At 37.6% G+C, this 22,611-nt stretch overlaps 1 protein-coding gene across 4 annotated transcripts in view, besides 1 other annotated feature; it reads right to left on the reverse strand.

The window, feature by feature from the left end:
• CSMD1 (CUB and Sushi multiple domains 1) overlaps positions 1-22,611 on the reverse strand; it is a 2,059,554-nt gene that overhangs the window by 405,645 nt on the left and 1,631,298 nt on the right. For all 4 annotated transcript variants that reach the window (XM_011534752.3, NM_033225.6, XM_011534753.4 and 1 more), the window contains 3 exons: positions 18,147-18,335; positions 6,987-7,156; positions 2,289-2,445 (listed from right to left, as the gene is read on the reverse strand). In XM_011534752.3, coding sequence (XP_011533054.1) covers positions 2,289-2,445; positions 6,987-7,156; positions 18,147-18,335 — 516 coding nt within the window. The remainder of the gene's footprint in view (positions 1-2,288; positions 2,446-6,986; positions 7,157-18,146; positions 18,336-22,611) is intronic.
• Positions 5,374-6,033: an enhancer, noted in NCBI's record as "OCT4-NANOG hESC enhancer chr8:3203901-3204560 (GRCh37/hg19 assembly coordinates)". NCBI's record gives its function as "activates a minimal SCP1, AML or CMV promoter by ChIP-STARR-seq in naive H9 embryonic stem cells {active_cell/tissue: H9 hESC(naive)}" and the evidence as "EXISTENCE:reporter gene assay evidence [ECO:0000049][PMID:30033119]".

Below are 22,611 nucleotides of genomic sequence, written 5' to 3' on the forward strand. Positions count from 1 at the left end.
GTAGAATTGGAAAGTGCCCACAAACAGATGAATAGATTCAAGCTTTTACAAAGTTACTCAGTGAAGTGGAAGTGACCTCAAAACTTCCTAAAGTGATGCTGGATGCCGGGGAGCAATAGAGTCACAGTATCCATGTGGGGTCCAGGCAGGGCTGAGCCTCGCCCACTGACGCAAGCCTTCTGGGTGAGGGAGGGTGGACATCAACATGGAACAAGCCGACCACCTATAGTTTCCATACGGTCACACGGCTCTGGAGCACATGGACCTTCCTAACTGCTACCTGGACAACAGAAGAGGCTTCAGAATTATGGAAACAGCTCAGTATCCCTACATTGATTCCAAGCCCCTGAAATTCCAGTATGCATAAATCTTCTTCTGGATACTTTTTGCATCACCATGAGAAAATGAGACCAAGTGTTTACAAATGAGAAATCATTCCAACTGGAAATAGTCGGAGGAACATGGGAAACAGTTACTAGGGTTGGAAACGTAATGAGAAATAACACACGAGCTGAGCACAATGTGTTTTTTGTGAAGCAGCCACAGGAAGGGAAAAAGTGAGCTTAGTAACATCGCAAATTGCAGCAGTGTTGAGAGTGAGGTCCCAGGAGAGAGGGAGGATCCCAGGCCAACGTTTTCTGCTCTTTGCCCAGGGAGCCATAGCAGGGGCAGGATTTGTAAGAAAAAGCAACGAAAATGTGTTCAGTGGCAAGAGAACTGGAAGAACGCCGTAGGTGTGCATGGAACTTCCCCGTAATTAGACAAAATTTAATTTACCCACAGGCTTTTCAAACAGTTTTTCTTCTCAAGTATCTGTGTTCCTCTAAGACTAGTGTAGGGGCAAGGAAGCGGGGATGAAGACATCCAAGTAAGAAAACAAAATACATTGAACATCTCGACAGGGACGAGAAGTGGAAAAAACAATCACAATAGCATTCATTCCATCTGCAAGCAAAATGGTTTTACAAGAGCTCTTTGAGACATTTCTGAGAGGGAAATCCTGGAAGGTAAAATTCTAGTAAAAATTTTATAATTATAGGTTGATCTTGTAACATCAATTGTTATCAGTTTATTGTGCACAAATATTAATTCATAGGCTTTCTATTTACTCAGTCTTTTCAATGGTATTATCACAAAGGTGAAAAACTGGTTTCCTCATGATTTCAGCCACACTTATTCTATTTTTTGGCCAAAGTCTTACAATTCTTCACCTGTGATTTTTTCCTCCTAAGAGGGATTTGAGGTGATTAATCTTCGTCTTAGGCTCCTGGATTAGCTCTGGGTCTGTGGGATGATTATTATCTTTTGCAGGACCTTTTTTGCCTATCCATCAAATAAAGGTATCCATCACTAACATACTTTTATGCTCAAAAACCCAAACTTTTAAATTTCTAATGTCATGGTGTTCAGTATGATATAGTTTTTACATTTATCAGATGAGTGAAGGATTTGACAATTTTATATACTTTAAACATTTTAATTAATTAGTTAATTTTAATTACTTATCCACACCAAATAGCTTTTTCTTTTACTTCAGAACTAAAAATGCTGAAAGTGGCAGTTATCACTTTGCAAATTCCTACTTTTGAAACACAGCATCTCTTTTATTTCCCTGTTCTTTTGGCTTCTTCATTTACATCTTTAAAAACATATTCCACATTGATTTGTTCATACAGATGATGGGAAGCACCGATAACTGGGAGCTACAGCTTCAATCCTGGCTCCACCAACTCTTAAAACTGTTATCTCTGGCAAGTATTCAAAGTATTCCTCTTAGTTCTCTCGTCTCAAAAATTAATGGTGAAAAGAAAATAGTTTACTACATATTATGTAGTTGTTGTGTGTGTGTGTGCTTATACATATATATGATTAAATGTATAAATATATGTGTGTATGTGTGTGTGTGTGTGTCATTCAAAGTCTATTACCTCCGGTTGTATCAAACATCTCTTCTAAAGCCTTCATATATAAGCACATGAATTTGTATCAATGTATACTATACCCCAATCAATATATTTAAGCCCATCAGATCTAAAATGTTGTAAGACGTTTCCTTTTCAGGTCCAACTATTTTGTTATTTGAATTAATATTTCCAAATAGATAAATTTCAAGCTACTAGTAATGTGTCCGAATATACAACCAGTCAACAGAGTACAGAATTAAACTGCAATCAAAAACACAGTAGGCAGCCAGAAAAAAATCAATATTTAAAACTTAATATAAGCCAAGTATCAGATATGTCCTGACAAAATGAAAAAAGAACGTGATTAAGTCGTATGTTACTTACTGGTATAGGTGAGTTGAAAACCTTGGTCGGTGTCAGATCCATTGGTGTTGAACTCTAGCCACAGGTGATTGGATGTGCTGTTTAGGATCAGCCCCAGAAGTTCATTTTTAGTGAACGTGCCCAGTGGACGTGAGGAACTGTCTTTTCCATCATATACCTGATGAAAATTCACAGCATGAGTCCCTCTATGCCTTCACTGGATTCTTATGTTAGCAATGGTAATAAACAATCCAAATCTTCAAAGATGCAGTTTTAAACAATACTTAAAAAGGCATATAGTTTACAGAAAGATAAATGAAGGACTTAGAGCTAAATCATATTTGTTCTTTAAATTTTATCTTTACCATTAACACTGGAGGCAAAAGATTCCATTCTTGTTCAGATCATTTTATATTCATTACTTTAAGAGCTCTTTCTGTGTTCATTTAAAATTAAATAAATATTTCTTTACATTTCCAGGTTTCATTATCTACCTTTTTATTCCTTTTCTCATAGTTCAGTTATAAAAGTAAAAAGGATTTATAATATTTTAGTCTTGAATATCTCCTCTGAACTCTCAACTAAGTCAAAGAACATACCCTTCCTTTCTATTCCCTTCTGTCTGAATGCACTAAAGGACAACAAGATGTGCCGGAATCTTGTCACATTCTGTAGTCTGCAAGCCTCCGGTGGCTTTCATCTTGAATTTGAAATAACAGAAGTATCTCATCATGCAATAGTAATACAGAAGTGTGATGTTGCTTAAAATGCTCTGTATGTGGCATTATCTTCCCAAGCAGTTGTAAAACGAGAGTAGATGTAATAAGTATACGGAAGATAAGGAAGACAAGGCTTGGTTTTGACCAGCCGGGAGAGGGAAGGTTCAGTCATGGGTTCCCAACTAGTGGGGAGACAGGTCACATGGTGGGGAGCAGTGGGTCTGTGTCACCATCATAATCTGAATGAGGATCGGGTAAAAGTGTTTAGGACCCATGCACTTTCTGCCAATGCCATGAGGCTCAGGTAACAGAAACAGCACTGACTTTCTAGTAGGACAAATACCTAATGCATGCGGGGCTTAAAACCTAGATGATGGGTTGAAAGGTGCAGCAAATCACCATGGCACATGTATACCTGGGTAACAAGCCTGCACTTCCTGCACACGTATCCCAGAGCTTAAGATAAAATAAAATAAAGTAAAATAAAAAAGTCAATGCAGCAGTCCTCGCTCCCAATAACAACAGAGCACTAGGTGGGCACGGCTAATCCACCTGCCTCCCTCACTAGCAGGGGGCTGTAAAAATAAACATTTATTACACGATATTGGAAAATGTTCAGTTTGTCTTAATAGAAAAATGGTACCCTAACTAAATAAAATTAAACAGAGTCTTAGTAGGCTCTTCCAATGTGTTTGTCTATTTTCCCCACTTCTTTCCTCTTTATACAGATTAATTTTTCTTTCATTGTCTTTCAATCAATATATAAACCCAGGGATGTACACAGATATAGATACTCAGAAAAGGAGAAAATACATTTAGAAAAGATAATTTTGTGGGTAGTTATTTCATTACAATTAAATATGCACATGCTAGTGGGGTAGAATCAGATACTCTCTAATCTCCTTACTAAAAGACTATTGACCCAGGTCATTGTGTAAAAACCATTATTTGGTTTATTCCATGTTTTTATTAGACGAGCCGGGGTCTGACATCCAGAGACTAAATGGTTTTAATTCCAGAGGAATCTGGGTCAAAGAGAAAAGGTGCAGGTCTCCCTAGGAAGGCCTTGGGCTACCCCGTATACCATGGAATTGTCTGTAATTGACAGAAATCCATAAAGATGGGGAAATACGAAAGAACTAGACACTCAGTGAAGCCCCTGCTGGGTCCTGACACACTGTAGGTTCATCCGCTCTCCTGAATCTTGGCTTCCCCGTGTCCTCATGAGGACTTGACCAAGCGCACCGTGGATCCCTGAGAGATTGCACCTTGCTCCCAGTGGCTTCATGGTTACAACCACTAAAAATGAACAGCTCAAAAGCTGAATCGTAAGATTCTTCAGAACAACAATTCTGCGTTCTTTATCCATGTCATCAGCAATCAGCACTGGGTCCAACCACCGAAACCCCAGAGAAAGTGTATGTCGTTGATGAACATGGAACACTCCCCTGTCAGTTCTCTAAAGTTAAAATCTGGGTTCAGGTTTCGCACTGATCACAAATAAAAACCCAGATAGGAGTGGAAGTCAGAAGACTTGATTTCTGATTCCAATTGGATGAGGAACAGGCTACACCTGTTCTGTACAACATTTCCTAGTTATATTTTTTCACCTATAAGTAGCTAGATTCAAAGGGTTCTTTTCAGTTATTAGAGAAAGTCTTTGGGATTCATATGTTTAATACAAGCCTGTAAGTATCTGCACTACAAACCCTCCTCAGAGTTCAGCATTTAATGCCATATACTCAAGGGATGTTGCTGGGTTAGCTGATGATCACAGATTAGAAGACATCACACAGAATGCTAGCATGACAACATTGAAAGTTCTGGGGAAATCTTTCCCAGTTTTACAGAAACTATACCCTGCAGATTTATTTCCAAAATTAATTGCGTTTTCCATTCTATATTCCTTTCATGACATGCTTCTGAGAGCTCGATATCTCTTACATGATTTTTCCACATGAAGCAAGAAAACATCATGTTTATTTACGTGTGCAGGGGGTGCGTGTATATAAAATTTTAGTCTTTATTATTACATCACAGTATGTGCGAAGGATCAATGTGAACAGCATTAGGCTTGAAAATTAAGATAATTTTACTATAAACATTTTTAACAGAGATATTTTTTAGCATATTTAACAAAATATATGCCTGCAAAATGTGTAGGTATTTTATATGACTGACAGCTTCTCTGTAATTAAATGTGAGAAGCACGTTTTTTTAAAAACAACTTTTTGTTATAATCAACTTTAAACAGCATGCAATCACAAATGAACATAATTTCCTTCCTTCCATTGCAATAATATTTATCCTTGTGTATTTTATGCAGTATCTCTAATCATTCACCTGCACTAAAGTATAGTTAAGAGTTATTTAAAACTTTGCCTTAAAGGCTTACTGACTTCTAAATTTGAGGTTATTAAAAAATTCAGTTGCGATGTAACTATTTCTTTTTAGATTAGTAAGAATGTGCTAGTTTCCTGCCTAAAAACCACTTCTTCATGACAGTCCCTCATACTGCCAGTGTGAGATTTCAAAAGACTATTAAAATGAAAGAACAACTAGAATAAAACCACTCTACTAAATTATGACATTGAAATACAGGCAAACGCGGCCTTAGGAGGAAGTAAGGCCCTTTAATCTGTAAGCTTCTCCTGACCTTTGCACATAACTTCTAATGAGGTCAAGTGGAGCCCGGCGGGGGCTCCATTCCAGCCATTCTGTAAAGGGAGGACACACAGTGTTTTCCCTTTTAGTTGGCTTTCTGCATATTCTCTTAGAAGTCTCATAGTTCAAAGTGAGTTGACAATACTGAATCTAAAATGCATCATTATGTGCATCTACGTAGATGTAAATTAATTGAAAAACCCTAGAATTTTAAAAAGGGAATAAAAAGAGCCACGTGTTCCTTTCTTGCCAGAAACCAGGCTTCTGTCCAACTAAATTGCTCACCTCGCTGAAATAAGCAGGTGACTGGACGGATGATTTATAGCAGGGGAGTCCAATATTTTGGCTTCCCTGTGCCATGTTGAAAGAATTGTCTTGCGGCACGCATAAAATGCACTAACACTAAAGATAACTGATAAGCTTAAAAAAATCACAGAACATCTCATAATGTTTTAAATATGTTTACGAATTTGTGTTGGGCCACAGTCAAAGCTGTGCTGGGCCGCATGTGGCCTGTGGGCCGCGGGTTGGACAAGATAGTATTATAGCATTAGCTCTTGTTTCTTGAAGCTTTTCCTTTTCAGTGCCTTGAGGCTAGGTTGCCCATTCTCCAACCCCTAGGCCATGGAAGGTTCCCAATTTATTGAAATACTTACAGGAGAGGTGAAAATTATATCAGGACTCTTAGAAGTTAAGGGCATTTCTAGTTGGAGCTGGGATTTTGTCAATCAACGCAGGACCTGGGTACCCCTGCCATCAATATTGAGATTCTGTCTTGTCCTGGCTTGGCTTCTCCTCATCAGCCCTGTCTGTGATCTGACCACTGTGGCTGGATTTACCTCCATTATCACTTCAGAACCTTTCCAGCTTTCCACAGTATGACCACATTTAAAAATCAAGATTAACTACAGAAAGGGTTGGTTTGGGGATCCTGCAACTTTTAATAATTACAACTATGTGCTAGACACAATGCTAGGAACATCCACTTATATTATTGTATTAAATCCTCAAGACAGTCCAGAAAGGTAGGTACAATTGCATTTTGTTACACATAAGGAAGCTGAAGATCAAAAGTGTTAAATAACTTTCATAAGGTGCTGGACTGATAAATGTTAGATCGAGGTTTATCTACAAAGTTATTTCAAAGTCCACATACACTGCTCTAAGCGAAGTGACATTACACCTTCTCAAACTCATTGTGTAAATAAATACAAATAAATCATATATAAAAATATATGTTAATATGTGCATATATCTATATGTAGAAAAATAGATAGACAATGTATTTTTTGAGAAGAAAACTTGGAGTCATCATGTTGGAGAAGATTCTTTTTACCTTTAGAGTATCTCCTTCAAACAGCTGGAAGCTTCGTGTTCTAAGGTGGATGCCCTTGCCGGCTTCTGTTTCTATTTTATAGATACACTCATGGTTATTATCATAATTGGATGGAAAATTTGGAGACAGTAATGTTCCTTCATTTCCTTTGACACTTGCTCCACATTCGGCTACAATAAATAGGACATGAGAGAAAGAGGATTCAAAAGTGGAATTACTGTTTTTAACAGATTAAAAACTTTAAAATCATGATAGCCTCCTCTTCTATCAACGTATGTGTGTTAGTAATATATTATTTCAAAATAGATCAGTGATTTTTTTTTATTGTTTGACCAACTGGACCAAAAAAGATACCCCACCTAGCTCATTTTGAAAATTGTCTTATTAACAGAATGACCTCTGACTATGTGGAAGCAGCATGCTATCATACAGAGAGTTCTAGAATAAAACAGAGGTGCTCCAGCACCATGGCTCACTGGCTGTGTCGTCAGGTTGTCACAGCACCTCTCCCACCCACCTCATTCCTGCCTCATGAAATGTCCCCACCAGTTCCCACGCTCCCATTCTACCATTGTTTGTCTGCATTTTCCTTCATTGACATCTTATGGCATCAACTGGGACGCATTCAAAGGGGAATCTAACGACAGACCAAACCACTGAGTTATCTTCAGGATGTCACATCCCTGAATGCCTCAGCATTATGTCTTATAATGGAAGAACATTCAATGGCAGTAATTATCTGCTTCTCCCTCTTTCCCAATGAAGGAAGAGAAAAATTGACTTCTAGATCTAAATTTGTATCAAACAAAATTCCTCTTATCAAGGTAAAAGTGAAAATACATACAACTCTCTACTTTCTGTCAACCTGGAGAAAGTCACTTAACCTTTCAGCACCTGTCTCACAGTGAAAGTGAACAGTTTAGGTCAAGAATGCTTTCAGCTCCAAAACTCTAAGTCCAATACGATCACAGAAAAATAAAGTGGCTACATATACGGGTGCACACACACACAGAGGTTTGTCTGTGCCAAGAGAGCTCCACAGGAGTCTGCGCCAACAATTTTACAGACTATACTATGTGCCCAGCACACCGATGTAAACATCCCACAGAATGCCTATTCTTTTGAAGAATAATTGTCAGGTTGGAAACCAAGCATCAGTTAGATGCCAGGTATGTACTGAGAGCAGGAGAGAAGGATGCACAGTATTCCTTTTCCACTGGGTTGCTCAAGGTACTGCAGAATTTTGCAGATGACTTCTGCATGCCCACTGCCACGATACTGATTCTTTCACACCCTCCTTCCCTCTTTGACAACGAACACAATCAGCTACATCACTGGCCATGATATCCTAATCCACTTGCCAGCAGGAAGTTGCTAGAGATCCATGATTGCCCCCCAGTGATTTGTGCACGTTGAATCTCAGAATGCCTCCATGTGGAAGGGTGTGAGGAGAAAGTCAGAGAGGAGAACGCTTGACATCCTGGGTTCACTTCTCCCTCATCCTCCTTAAATAAAGACAGAAAAGCAGGCTTTGGATGTGGCTCTCGGGGTGCAAGTGTTGAGGCGGAAGTGCAGGCAATTGGTGACTCAAAGATGCCATTGGGAATTTATAATCATTTTAAGAAATTACAGTAATTATATAACTATAATTATGTATTTGTATAATTATAATTCTGTAAAAATCATTTTAAAAGAGAAATTTATATGTATATATACTCACGAGTAGGTGTATATATCTATAATATATAAATACTTTATATAGTTATAGCTATAAAATAGATATAAGTCTAAATATAAATATATCTATAAATAGATATAAATATACATATAAAATATATATAATATATCTAGATATAAATATATATAATTATATAAATATATTTATATCTATATATATATTTATAATATATATTTATATATATTTATATATTATATTATATATAATATATATTATATGTGTATGTGTGTTATAATACCTATAATACCTATAATTACTTGTGTATGTGTTATAATACCTATAATAACTTGTGTATGTGTGTGTTATAATACCTATAATAACCTATAATAACTTGTGTATGTGTGTGTTATAATACCTATAATAACCTATAATAACTTGTGTATGTGTGTGTTACAATACCTATAATAACCTATAATAACTTGTGTATGTGTGTGTTATAATACCTATAATAACCTATAACTTGTGTATGTGTGTGTTATAATACCTATAATAACCTATAATAACTTGTGTATGTGTGTGTTATAATACCTATAATAACCTATAATAACTTGTGTATGTGTGTGTTATAATACCTATAATAACCTATAATAACTTGTGTATGTGTGTGTTATAATACCTATAATAACCTTCGTGACATGTCAATAAACCCCATTTACAGATGAGGAAACTGAAGCATAGAATAGTTTACAAACCAAATGTCTTTCCCAAGGTCACACAGCTAGTACAGATTAATTACTGATGTGATATAAACTGTGAAGTACTCATAAAGGGAATAGCACTTTTAAAAAATATCCTAAATAACACTTACATGTACTTTAAAATTAATAATTCACACTACTGTTCATAATTAATAATAAAACTGGAGTAACACAAGTTTAAATGTTCAAGAAAAAAGTGTCTTCTTAAGGACTTTTATTCTAAATAGGTCACCGATTAATTGCAGCTGATATTTGTTATTACATTAGCATTTAGGACATTAGCTATATAATCATTTCTCATAATACATAAAAAAGGTGGGACAAGAAAGAATAATTGAGCATTTGTATCCATGTGAAGAAAAAAAATCTAAACCAAAAGAAATAATTTTACATGTTTTTATTAGCCTTTGGAATCTGGGATTTTTTTTAAAAAAAGCAGATATATAATAAATGGTAGTAACTAAGTTCAAGTCCTCACTATGCAAGAATAATAACTGTGCAAAATTAACCATCCCGTTGTAACTGATGACCCTGTATAGACAGACAATGCTGCTGCTTTGCCTTTTAGAAAAAATCAAGGCAAAAGCAACTCACCATCCTTCTAGCACTTCCCAAATCTCACTTTATATTCACAGCTTGAAACTAAAGTCTTCTATTAGTATCTGAATAAGTATCTCTCATAACCTGAGATGCAATTAAGATTTCTCAGTGAATATGTAATAATAGCTCATTTATTCAATATGTAGCTATAACTGAATGTGAATATACATGACCAAAACACTTAAATGTACAAAGGTAGGATTTCATTACTCTAGGGTAGTGTGGCACAGGATTCAAAAGATAGTCTTTCACATGGCATTTTCCCCAAAAGTATTAAATTGCTATGAAAGTATACAAACTTGGCCAGGCGTGGTGACCCATGCCTGTAATCCCAGCACTTTCGGAGGCCGAGGCAGGCGGATCACCTGAGGTCAGGAGTTGAAGACCAGCCTGGCCAACATGGTGAAATCCCGTCTCTACTAAAAATACAAAAATTAGCTAGGCGTGGTGGCACATGCCTGTAATCCCAGCTACTTCGGAGGCTGCTTGAACCCAGGAAGCAGAAGTTACAGTGAGCCGAGACCACCCAACTACATTTCAGCCTGGGCGACACAGTGTGAGACTCTGTTTCAAAAAAAAAAAAAAAGAAAAGAAAAGAAAGGAAAGTATACAAACTTGGCTTGTTAACTAGAAAAATTATTTTAATACATATACATTAAATGATATACGAATAATTGTATATAGAAACAAAAATCAAATATATATTTAATATGTATTAAATATAAATATATTAAATGTATAATATATATTAAATACACATGTATAATATACATACAATGTGTACTCACTATTTAATTTATATTTTAGTACCTATATTTTTCAAAGATTTTAAAGACGATTAACATAGAATCACATTTTTAAAAATTTAAATTATGACTTTTACATCTTTTCTCTGTTTTCAGCCGTTATTTGTGTTTGAGTTAATACCATCCTACTGAACATAGGACAGTTTTGTTTTTGCTTTGTCACCTTTTTTTTCGGATTTTATGTGGAAGTCAATAAGAAAATATGATATTTTCCATGCTGAACATGATTAGCCATTGTATCCTGAGGGCCTAGTGCTTCATGAGTCCACTTGACACCGCAGCCGTGTTGGCATCTCCAAAGGCCTACTGAGAAACATGGGTGGGGAAGGAATGCCAGGACCTGGGCACACTCTCAGGTGCAAGACAAATAGGATGTTTTTATGATTTTATCAACATGACTGAAGTGGAGCATCACATGAAGGAACTATGGGAGATGGGATTGCAAACACAGCCTGAACCAGGTTGCAGGGAATGCCCTAAAACAGTTGAATTTTAAAGACTTTAAACAAAAACACAGAAGGTATAGATGTTGTGAAGATTGACTTGTGACACAAATTCTAGAATTTCAATAGAAGAGAAGTATCTTTGAAAGTTCAAATAAATAATCACAGGAAAAATAAGTTGTAATAATACCATGCCTGATGGGGTACAGGAATTTATCTAATTTTGTTTTTGGTCTATTTGTCACTTACACAGTGCATGTTCTTATTACTATTACATCATTGGCTGGGCGCGGTGGCTCACATCTGTAATCCTAGCAGTTTGGGAGCGCGAGGCAGGCAGATCACCTGAAGTCAGGAGTTCAAGACCAGCCTGGCCAACATGGTGAAACCCTATCTCTATTAAAAATACAAACATTAACCTCGCATGGTGGTGCATGCCGGTTGTCCCACCTAATTGGGAGGCTGAGGCCGGAGACTTGCTTGAACCCAGGAGGTGGAGGTTGCAGTGAACCAAGATCGTGCCATTGCACTCTACTCTGGGCAACAAGAAAGAAACTCTGTCTCAAAAAACAAACAAACAAAGAAACAAACAAACAAAAAACACGAAAACACATGGGGGTATATAACAAAACAAAAAACACAAAAACACATGGGGGTATATAACAAAACTAAGCCCATGTTACAGATGAGAAAACTGAGGCACAATGACACTAATTAACATGCTCAAGATCACACAGGTGTGAGAGGGAAACTATGATTTGAACCCCAGGCAATCTGTTATCAGAAGGTGCAATAATTATACTACATTTGTTAATACACAATATTGGTAATTATTCCTATTGGCAGATAGGAAATAATCCATGAGGGCTACTTGCTTATGACTTTAATAACCTTGTGATTCCAAGAGGATAGGAAAGTGTTGCTGCTGAGGGAAGCAACTTTCTGAATGGGATGGGTTACTATTTTACAAAATGTTCTTTGAAGAAACATTGGTATACTTTTGGAGGCATGTCTTCTGACTTAATTCCGTTTTCAAATTAAATCAGAAGAATTCTTGCGGAAGCTTCTTATCTCCATTCCTATCTGCTCTCTAACACTACCCCTACCTTTCTGACCAAGATACCACCAAATAGCTCGCATATCACAAAATGTTTCCTTTTCCTTATTTCCAAAGCTGTGCAGGTGGCCTCCTAGTACACAAAAACAGATACAACATGATATTCAAATGAAAGAATGGATGTGTCAAAGAAACTGCGAGAGCGCTCCAGACCCTGGGGCAGTATCCCGTAGGACGTAATTTAATAAGACACTGACATTAAGTAAAGAGCAAGTGCTCAGAAAATCACAAGAGTTAAGTGACCAAAATTTCAAAAATTATTTGAGCTTGATTTAAAACATTCATTGAAAATCACCATTAGCAGAATTAAATGTTTCATTTTAAAAAAGTTTTTCAATAGTCTATTTAATACTAATTTAAGATGAATGAACACAGTTTCTTAATACAAATCACTTGCTGTTTTATAAAAAAGCTACTGAAATGTTAACTATAATTGAATTGTCACTTAGATTTTTGCAATTGAATGAAACTAATTAAAATGAAATTAACACAGAAGAAAGGAGTTAATTGATTTTTCAGTCAATTCTTCTGTACAAAGGAATCTACCTGTGAAATTTCCTGTCTCAGTCTGCTTGGCCTGCTGTAACAAAGTACCACAGACAGAGTGGCCTCAACAACAGACAGACGTGGAGGCTAGGAAGCCCCAAATCCATAGCATTAACCAAAATGTCTGTATAAATTAATGCATATTCAATATTCGGCAAGGTCATTTTATTGGGGACATTAAATAACTATTTATTTAATTATTTTAAAAAGTAGGTGAAAATATATAACCTCTCAATCTGCCTATTCAATACAGTTAAATTGGATTCAAATTCTACAGCTGAAGCAACTTGTCCACCTAAATAACCTCGAGCCTATACAATGCCTCACATTTAACAGAGATGTTTCTTAACATAATGGCTGGAAGTAAAGGTGTATGGCTCTGGTTATTAAAATGTAGAAATTGTTGTGGGGCTTTTGAGGGCACTGTGAAATTGGGAAAACTATTAATATGCAGATCTCTATGTTTTAGAAGCTTTATTTTAAAAGCACAGAAATAGAAAACAGCTCAACTAAGAAACAGAAACAGAAAGTCTACCTTTCTCCTTTAAACCAAGTTCATTGTGTTCTACGCAACAAATAAGTAAATCTTGCCCGTAATAGAAGTCTATATTAATCAAAATATGCAATTCCATATTTACTCACGAAGAATATTTAAGAATTTCACAAAATGGTACTATTTTTAGCCCATTCATTATCCTATAAACCTTTATTTTTACAATTTAGTGCCGTTATTGGATTAGCTTTTAAGAAGCAACAGAAACTAACATTTTAGCTTAGAACGTTGTTTCAATTTTTTAACCCAAAATTAAATAACTACATAGAATTATATACAGTTTAGTGATATATATATATCACTAAACTCTCTCTCTCTCTATATATATCTATAGATACATATATAGATACACTAAACCCTCTCCCTATATATAGATATACATATATCTATAGATATGTCTATCTATAGATCTATCTATAGATATGTCTATCTATAGATATAGATATATATAGAGAGACAGAGAAAGAGAGTTTAGTGTTAAACTAGATATAAATTAAACTAGATATAAATTAAATTAAAATACAGGCAAGATATTTTGTTTCACTATGCTGTCGGAAATAACTTGTAATCCATTCAAAAACTGAGGATAAGGGTGTTGATATTTTTTCGTTTTTTATTTCGCCCAATGACTTTCTACTTTGTCAAGCAAATAGAGTTAATACAGTTAATCAATAAGAGGATATATATCTCACTTTCATTCATTTTTTAAAAAAATCTCTTACTAGATACGGATTTAAGGCTTATGCTGATGTATACATACAGCCCTTTAACACCCTGAGAAAATTTTTTGTTCAAATAATTCTGAAATGATGTCATAGATGCAATATTAGGTTATGGAATTATAGCAAACATTTATCTCCATCATATATACTCTCTAACTTTGCTCCTGATCTTTTGACCAAAATGTCACAAACCATCACAAAATATTCAGTTTTTGTTATTATTCAAAAGCTGTGCAGATGGAATTCTAAATGTGCTAAGCCAATCACGACTGCCCTGGCCACAATGACTGCTCAGGAATAGGCATGGGACTCAATGTGGGCCAATGAGAGGAAACCCAGGACTTGTACATAAGCGATCTTCACATAGCTGTTTCCACAGAACTGCACGATGTGGGGCTACAGCACTGTATGTGATGATATGAGATCAGGAAGCCACCCAGTGCTTTACCCAGACTGGCAAAACTGAGAGATGCTGAGACCTCAGGTTCTTGTTGATGAGGTTGAACCCTTGATCAAACCTCACCTGAAGATGTCCCTAGGTATGGACTTTACATCACCTTACCAATAAACTTTCATTTTGACTTAAGCCAATGTGGGCAACTTTTTCTCTAATTTGCAAGTGAAAAAGAAGATCCTAAACAATACACGTGTAATGCACATGCCAACAGGTGCCAGAAGAGAGGGTTTGAGCATTGAGGTTGAATACCCAAGGAATACATGATACTATTTCTATCATCCTAAATGCATCATCAGGTTGAAAAAAACCCTAAAATGAATAAACACAAATAATAAAAAAGTTTCCATCTCTTTCATTTCAAAGTGACTTGATAGAGAGAGAAATAGTTCTCAGCTCAGATGCTCACTAGAAATTCCATTTAAGTCAGACACTTATTAGGGAGGTTAAAACGGCACACTTTTAACTCAGTCGACATCCTTAGGTGTCACCTGCAACCTTTGGTATGGATTTGCCTCTTTTTTGCCACAGGCAAATCATTTTTATTTCTATAATTTTAGAGAAAGGAACATGAAGCATGGATGAATCAAATTTTTGAGATGAAAAGAGAACCTTGTGAGGAAAGCAATTTTCCTCTTTTGGATACACAGAACTTAGGGATGAGGCAGACCACTGTAAAGGAGCCAGCAGTCTGAGGAGGGAGACAAAGAGATGAAGACAACTTGAGGCCGGGCACTGTGGCTCACGCCTGTAATCCCAGCACTTTGGGAGGCCAAGGCGGGCACATCACATGGTCAGGAGTCCGAGACCAGCCTGGTCAACATGGTGAAACCCCGTCTTTACTAAAAATACAAAAATTAGCCGGGCGTGGTGGCATGTGCCTGTAGTCCCAGCAACTCGGGAGGATGAGGCAGGAGAATTGCTTGAACCTGGGAGGCAGAGGTTGCATTGAGCCGAGATCGTGCCACTGCACTCCAGCCTGGGTGACAAGAACAAAACTCCATCTCAAAACAAAACAACAACAACAAAAAAACGTAATGGCAAAAACCGCAATTACTTTTGCACCAACCTTATAGAAAGAGCCCTGGTGCTCTGTGGGCCTGAGAGGGCTCCATCTGTCTGCAGGAGGCTGCTGGCTGAGCACTGGGTGCACTCTGGAGAGCCAGGGAATGAGGGACTCTGATCCAGGACAGCGTGGAGGGAGAGTGATTGCTCTGATTAGTAGGGGAAGCACTGACCAGGCTCTGTTACACTGGGCAAATCGATGGGGTTTTCACTTTGGAGAGAGCATTCTGGGAGCTGCGGCCCCTGGGGTTGGTGGGGTCTGGGGAGCCAGGGAAAGCATCAGGGGGACTGCGGGGTTCTGGAGTGAGGTGGGGCTAGGAGGGTGGGGAGGAGGAGCCTGAACTGAGAGCTCTGCAGCGGCCAGAATCCTCCAGAGCTAGGACATAAGCAGGTGTGGGGAATTAGAGAGAAATGAAGACAGCACCCGAATGCACCAGAGGGGCTGGAGGAAAAATCAGGAAACTGCAGGCAAAATGCAAAAGGCTAAATACAAAAAGGGCCTGTCCAAGGCCCTCCTGTCCAGTGCGGTGGTTAAAGGCTGAGTTGCAGGCTCCCTGGGTTCGAGTCTTCCTAGCTCTGTGTCCTTGGGCAAAGTTTGTAGAGTCTTTTTGTCTTAACATTTCCACATGTAACAGGGAACTGTCCATCACAGCATTTACTTCGTAGAATTGTCATGGGACTAAACACGTTATTACATGGAAGGAGCCTGAAGCAGTGCCTAGTCTACCACACACTGTTTAATAAATAGTACCTATTCTTCCAACTCTAGTTACTGAGTTTTCATATTTTAGACCACAGAGTAAAAACCTGAATGACAAGAAAAACAGTGTAAAGATAATGACTCTGGATGAAATAGAATAACATTTAATGGGTCTTAATCATTATAATCAGTAGACTACTGACTGTTACATATCTAGATGTCACCTTGATTTCATTGAGTTGGGGGTTTTGTCCAGATTTCAAACTATCTCAGTCAGGAGTCTTTAGACTCCAACCAATTCTGGGAACTCCTATGATCACCTGCAAAATACCGTATTTTTTTTCTTGAGATAACAGTCAAAATTTGCCTTCCATTCTCAAATAAATATTATAACCACAAACAGTAAGAACCATTATTTTAGGAGAAAAGCAGATTGTGAAAATATATAGATACATGTTTTGGAAACAGACACAGATGATTTGATTCATGTTTATTTGTTTAATTTTTTAATAACGAAATTCTGACTGTGTATCTCTGGTTCGTTAAAATCCAGAAATATAGCTTTATCATTTGAGTTACATAATATCCCTAAGCAACCCCAAAAATCTGCCCCAAAGGCAGAATCAAAGAGATTCTGCACCATGGTAAAATAAAACAAGTTATGCTAAACAAGTTATGCTAAGTGAACATGTTTGTGTTTTATATGGACTGTTAAATTTTATCTTCAGACCTTCCCCACCTGCCTCCAGTTCGTTAACTGGTGAAATTAGTGTGGTTCGTATTCTGGACTCCCCATGGACTCAGAAGGCTTGGTATTAAGGAGAACCTTGGTTAATCTCTCATCTCCCTTTTTTCTTCACAATGACATTAGTCAGTTTTCTGTAACTTTAAAGAACAATTTGTAAGACCCAGAATATGCTGAGCAACATGGCTGGGTGGCAGGAACTAGACGTTGTCCGTATAGCTAACTACGAGAGCTCTGGCTGTGTGGACAACACACCCTATTTAAGCTACAACGGCAGTTACGATTCTCCTTTGCTAAACTTCTTAGAGTGGCACAGTTCCCAGATTGCTAATAAACGTCACCCCACTGGATCAGCAAGCCAATTCCTGCATGTGAGCCTAGTACTTCATGGCAAAGTACCGAAATAAAAATTCCTGTTACTCTTCGGAATTATCTCTTGGATTCCTCCAGAACACACTGAAAAAGTGAATTCAGCATTCAGATGCCTCTTGTGCCCACTTAGCAGGAGTGTGCAACCATCATCCCATCAAAGGCTGCCACTGACAACAAAAACAAAATTGTCACCATCGTTATACCAAGGGACACGTGCTGCTTTTAATCAATGCAATTGTCAGAGGTTGTGTTATTATAGCTTGGCTTCTATCTTCCAGTTTTTCTTTTGCTCCAGATTTTCTCTCTCTCCGTATATATATATTTTTTCCCTTCATAAATATGCTTGACACATGCTTTGGTTTCACTCTTGTTCAATCATAAAATTTCAGAGCTGAAAGGGACTTACTTTATAGATGAGCTAATTCAAGCCCAGAGCAGTTAGGCAGCTCCCCTCTCCCCTGGTTGGCAGAGTGGAGCCCACACTTTCACCCTCTCCTTCCTTGTCAACAAACCCCCACCCGACCCCGACCACCCTAGGCTTCTTGCCTGGGCTAGACCCTGCCCCCATGGATGAATGAAATGAAAGCGTGTGACCACCTACCCACACACCTTGGCAGAGGTGCACTCCACACACGGCGGCCCCCACCCAGGCAGGTAAGCTTGGTGGCACCTTCTAAACGATATCCCAGGAAGCAGGAAAACGTCAGAGAGTCTCCCACACCAAAGTGAAAACCAATTCTTCGGCTGAAGGCAGGGACTCCAGGATCATCACATGGCTCCAGGTCATATTCTGAGGCATGCAGAGACAGAGTAAATGCATGAGGATTTGGGTAAATACACAAAGATTAAATAGCAAGAATAAAAAGTGCTATTACTAAAAAAAAAAAAAAAAACCTACATATATATTTTCCCCAAACACTTATAACTGTTACGTGCATTTTTTTTCTTGTACTATGAACTGTCTTATGACAAATGACATGGGATTTAGTATTTTTTTTTTTTTAAGAATTGACAGGTAAGAATGAGAATTACTAGAGGCTGGGAAGGGGGTGTATGGAGGGAAGGATAAAGTGATGTTGGTCAATGGATACAAGGATACAGTTAGAAGGAATATGTTCTAATACTTGATAGCAGAGTAAGGTGACTATAGTGAGTAATAATACAGTGTACATTTCAAAATAGCTCAAAGGCAAGATCGGAAATGTTCCCAACACAAAGAAATAATAAATATTTGAGGTGATGGGATTCTTAAGTATCTTGATATGTTTGTCACACATTCTACTCATGTATCAAAATATCACATGCACCCCATAAATGTGTACAATTATTATGTAACTAGAAGACAAGCAGACAAATAGCATATTAAAATGAGATAATTCACTTCAAAACTGTCAGCTTGAGAGTGTGGAATAATTTTACTGATATTTCTAATTGCTTAAATTGGTTACTGTATCCCTCCCAAAGGTGCTTTTTGGTAACTAACGCATGAAGCATAACATAAAAGCAAAGGCACAGGGCTATGTTTCTGGAAATCTTATCAGAGCCAATTTTGCCTCTAGAATATACCTCAGTGAGGAACAGTGGAATTTTCCTCTGTTTATTTTCAATCTGTAAACCATGTGAGATTGAAAAGTAGTAGACAAGATTTTGTACTAAAATTACTATAAACCATTCAAGAAGGAAGTGCTAAATATAAATTAAAAAATAAATGTCTGATATTTTGCTGCATTTTGGGAGTAAGTATTCAAAATGTCAGCACTGATATCTCACTTCTGTGTTTGCCACGTTCTTTACAGCCAACTCCTTCTGATCTCCGTAGTATGTACGTATAATTGAGCTCTGGCTGTCACCAGCCTCTTGGTCCATTATCAAGTCCATGGTTTTGACAGTGGGAAGTGAGAAAGTGTGGGTAAGTGCCTATTTGTTTGGTTTCCTCCTTCTTGCTGTTTCCCCAGTCTGTAATGCCCAGTTTTGTCAGATAGTATCAAACAGTCAGCCAGCCAACTAGGAAAATATGCTTAGGTATTGGAATGGTAAGAAGAGTTTCAGAGAGAATCTTGAAAGGCCAACTAAAAGATGTGCATTATTGCAAAGAATTGGGACAATGAAGATCACTCTTAGTTTACCGTGGGGAAGAAACGTTTAGAAAACTATGCTAATCTTTCTAAAAAAAATTACTTCTACTTTTTTCTAACACCATCTTTAGGGTTCCCCTAACTCGGAATTTTAGGTTCATTATTTTCACTGGACATATAAAATCCAACTGATCCTTTTCCCCTTAGTATTCCTCAAATCTGATCCTTCTTTTTTTTTTTTTTAGTTTAGTTTTCATTATCTGCTGAGTTTGTCACTGAGATCTCATACCTGCACTTTTATAAAAACTTTTATGGAACTCTGTACCTAAACACTTCCTTCATCTCACTTAGCTTACTGGTAAAGCTCTGAGGTGGATACTTTCTGAATTATCTTTGCGTTTAGATAAGCAATCTACTCTGGATCTGTAAAACATTCAAACTAACATTGATAACCTTGAGATATACTTATTAATTTGACTTATGCATAGTATGACTCAGAAAGAAAATAATATAGACAATGTCATTTAATTGAACTCAACAAACATTAATTGACAACCTATCATACGTTTACTTTTTAGAACATATTAAAATAAAGATGTCACAATTCAGATAATATTATCACATACCTTGCTGTTATCATTCTACTTCTATCTAAGGATATACTGTGTGCACTCAATTCAAGCCATACATTTCCTGTCATTTCTTTAAAAATAGTTGAAAACTCCAGGCACTGTGGCTCATACCTGTAATCTCAGCACTTTGGGAGGCAGAGGCGGGTGGATCATGAGGTCAGGAGTTTGAGACCAGACTGACTAACACGGTGAAACCCTGTCTTTACTAAAAATAAAATAAAATAAAATAAAAAATAACAAAAAAATTAGCTGGGCATGGTGGTGCATGCCTGTAATCCCAGCTACTCGGGAGGCCGAGGCAGAAGAATCGCTTGAACCCTGGAGGTGGAGGTTGCAGTGAGCTGAGATTGCACCACTGCATTCAAGCCTGGGCAACAGAGCAAGATTCCATCTCAAAAAAAAAAAAAAAAAAAAACAAACAAAAACATTCTTGCCAAACAGGAGAATATTTTGATATTATTATGTGCTATACCTATTATCTTATATAAAGAAACACCATGATCTTATGGTTCTTTGCTTTAAGTATATTTTTACTATATATTGTAGTTTATACAATATCCTCTGAAAGCAACTTAGAAGGACAGAAAGCCTGAAACAACACCATGAGGTTAGAAGGTGTGTGTTAGTTGTAACCATCTTGATTAGGCTTTCTAAGGATTCTCTTATATTAATTATCACTTAATCATTATTATACAAAGTATATTTGCAAGGTGTGCATGTTCATCTTTGTCTAACACAAGAAAAGTGTATTGCCTTCAGAATTCCATCTTCTCACCAACGCAAAGATTTTGTTCTTGGAGTTTATCCTTTTTTTCCCCCTTCATCAATTCTCTTATTTCCATCAAGATAAAAATATGCGTTACACGGTCAATCTTAAGAATGAGATAAACAACCAAAACCACCAACAAAACAAACTAACAACACCAATCTCTGGACTTCACAGTCACCCAGCCACCATATCCCTACTCTGGTTATCATTAGCACAAATTTTTCAAAGTGTTGGGTGTACCTTCCATTTTCCCATCCTCCCTTCCAAGACTGTCTTCCTCTCATCTATTCAGGCTTTCCTTCACAGCCTTCCACTCAAATGATCTTACCAAAGCCACTGTGACCTCCGGATGCAAAAACCAATGGTCAATTCTTAGGCTTCCTCTTACTAAGTAGGTTTTAATACAGTTGAATGCTCTCTTTTTTCTCCAAAGGCTTTCCTTTCTTAGCTCCCTGGATGCCACTCTCCTCCTAACTCACTGGACCCAACTTCTCATTTGGCTGATTCGGAACTTCTGCTGCCCCATGTGTTGAAATTAATTCTATGCCGATGGGTTTCCAGTATTTCTTTTTCTTTAATATGATCCTGTTATATGAACTGAAGACTCTTGTCAATCACTCTTGAATACATCCCTCAATATCCCCAGGAGAAAAAGGTCTGTATTTTCTTCCCAAACCTGCTTTGCTTCCAGTGGTTTTCACGTAAAACAGAGCATCCTCATTCATGCAGGTGCAAAATCTTGACCCCACTCTGTATTTTATATGACACCTTCACTTCCTGCCAATCAAGTCAGCTCTAACCTTGCATCCTTCCTGTAGTCTCAGCTTCCATCTTGCATCTCTTGCTGGGATTATTGTGTAACATGTTCCTGTTGAGACTCACGCATTGTCTTTCAAGTAAACATTGAAAAAGCTCAGATCATGTCAAGCTCTTCAAATCCATCCAATGGCTTCATGCAACATCCTGAGTTAACATCCAAGTTACTTATGTTATCTGCCCTCCATAACTAACTTCACGTCCCTCCACTTTCCCCTCGGTTTCAGGGGTCTGGCCACAGTGCCCCTCTGCTTTATCCTAAACTTGGTGTCTTGGTCCTCCCATTGTACCTCCGTCTGCTGAGAGCCCACCCAAATTAGCTGGCCTGTCCATTCCCTGCTTCACAATCAAGTCTCAGCCTGTCAGAGACCTGCCTAGGCAATTAAAGAATGAGCGTACTCTCCTCTGTCCCAGGTACTCATGACTCAACCACAGAAGAAGAAACAGTATCCTCATTTGAAAAGTCATGGTACCATTGAAGGAGACAAATACAGAAAAGTCATTATGGGAAAGGAATAATTTTGGTGTAAAAACGTCATGGAAACGTTTTTCTCCTGTATTATATAGAAGAAAACAAATTCTGCCTAGGGAAAAGAAGAAAGGCTGCATGTCAGAGACACCCTCTGACCTGGACAGGAGGAGTTTTGCCTGGTGAAAAATGTAGAAAGGCTTATTTATTTATTTATTTATTTATTATTTTTTTGAGACCGAGTCTCGCTGTATTGCCGAGGCTGGAGTGCAGTGGCGCGATCTCCGCTCACTGCAAGCTCCGCT

This window comes from Homo sapiens, chromosome 8 (assembly GCF_000001405.40).
Source record: "Homo sapiens chromosome 8, GRCh38.p14 Primary Assembly".
NCBI lineage: Eukaryota > Metazoa > Chordata > Mammalia > Primates > Hominidae > Homo > Homo sapiens.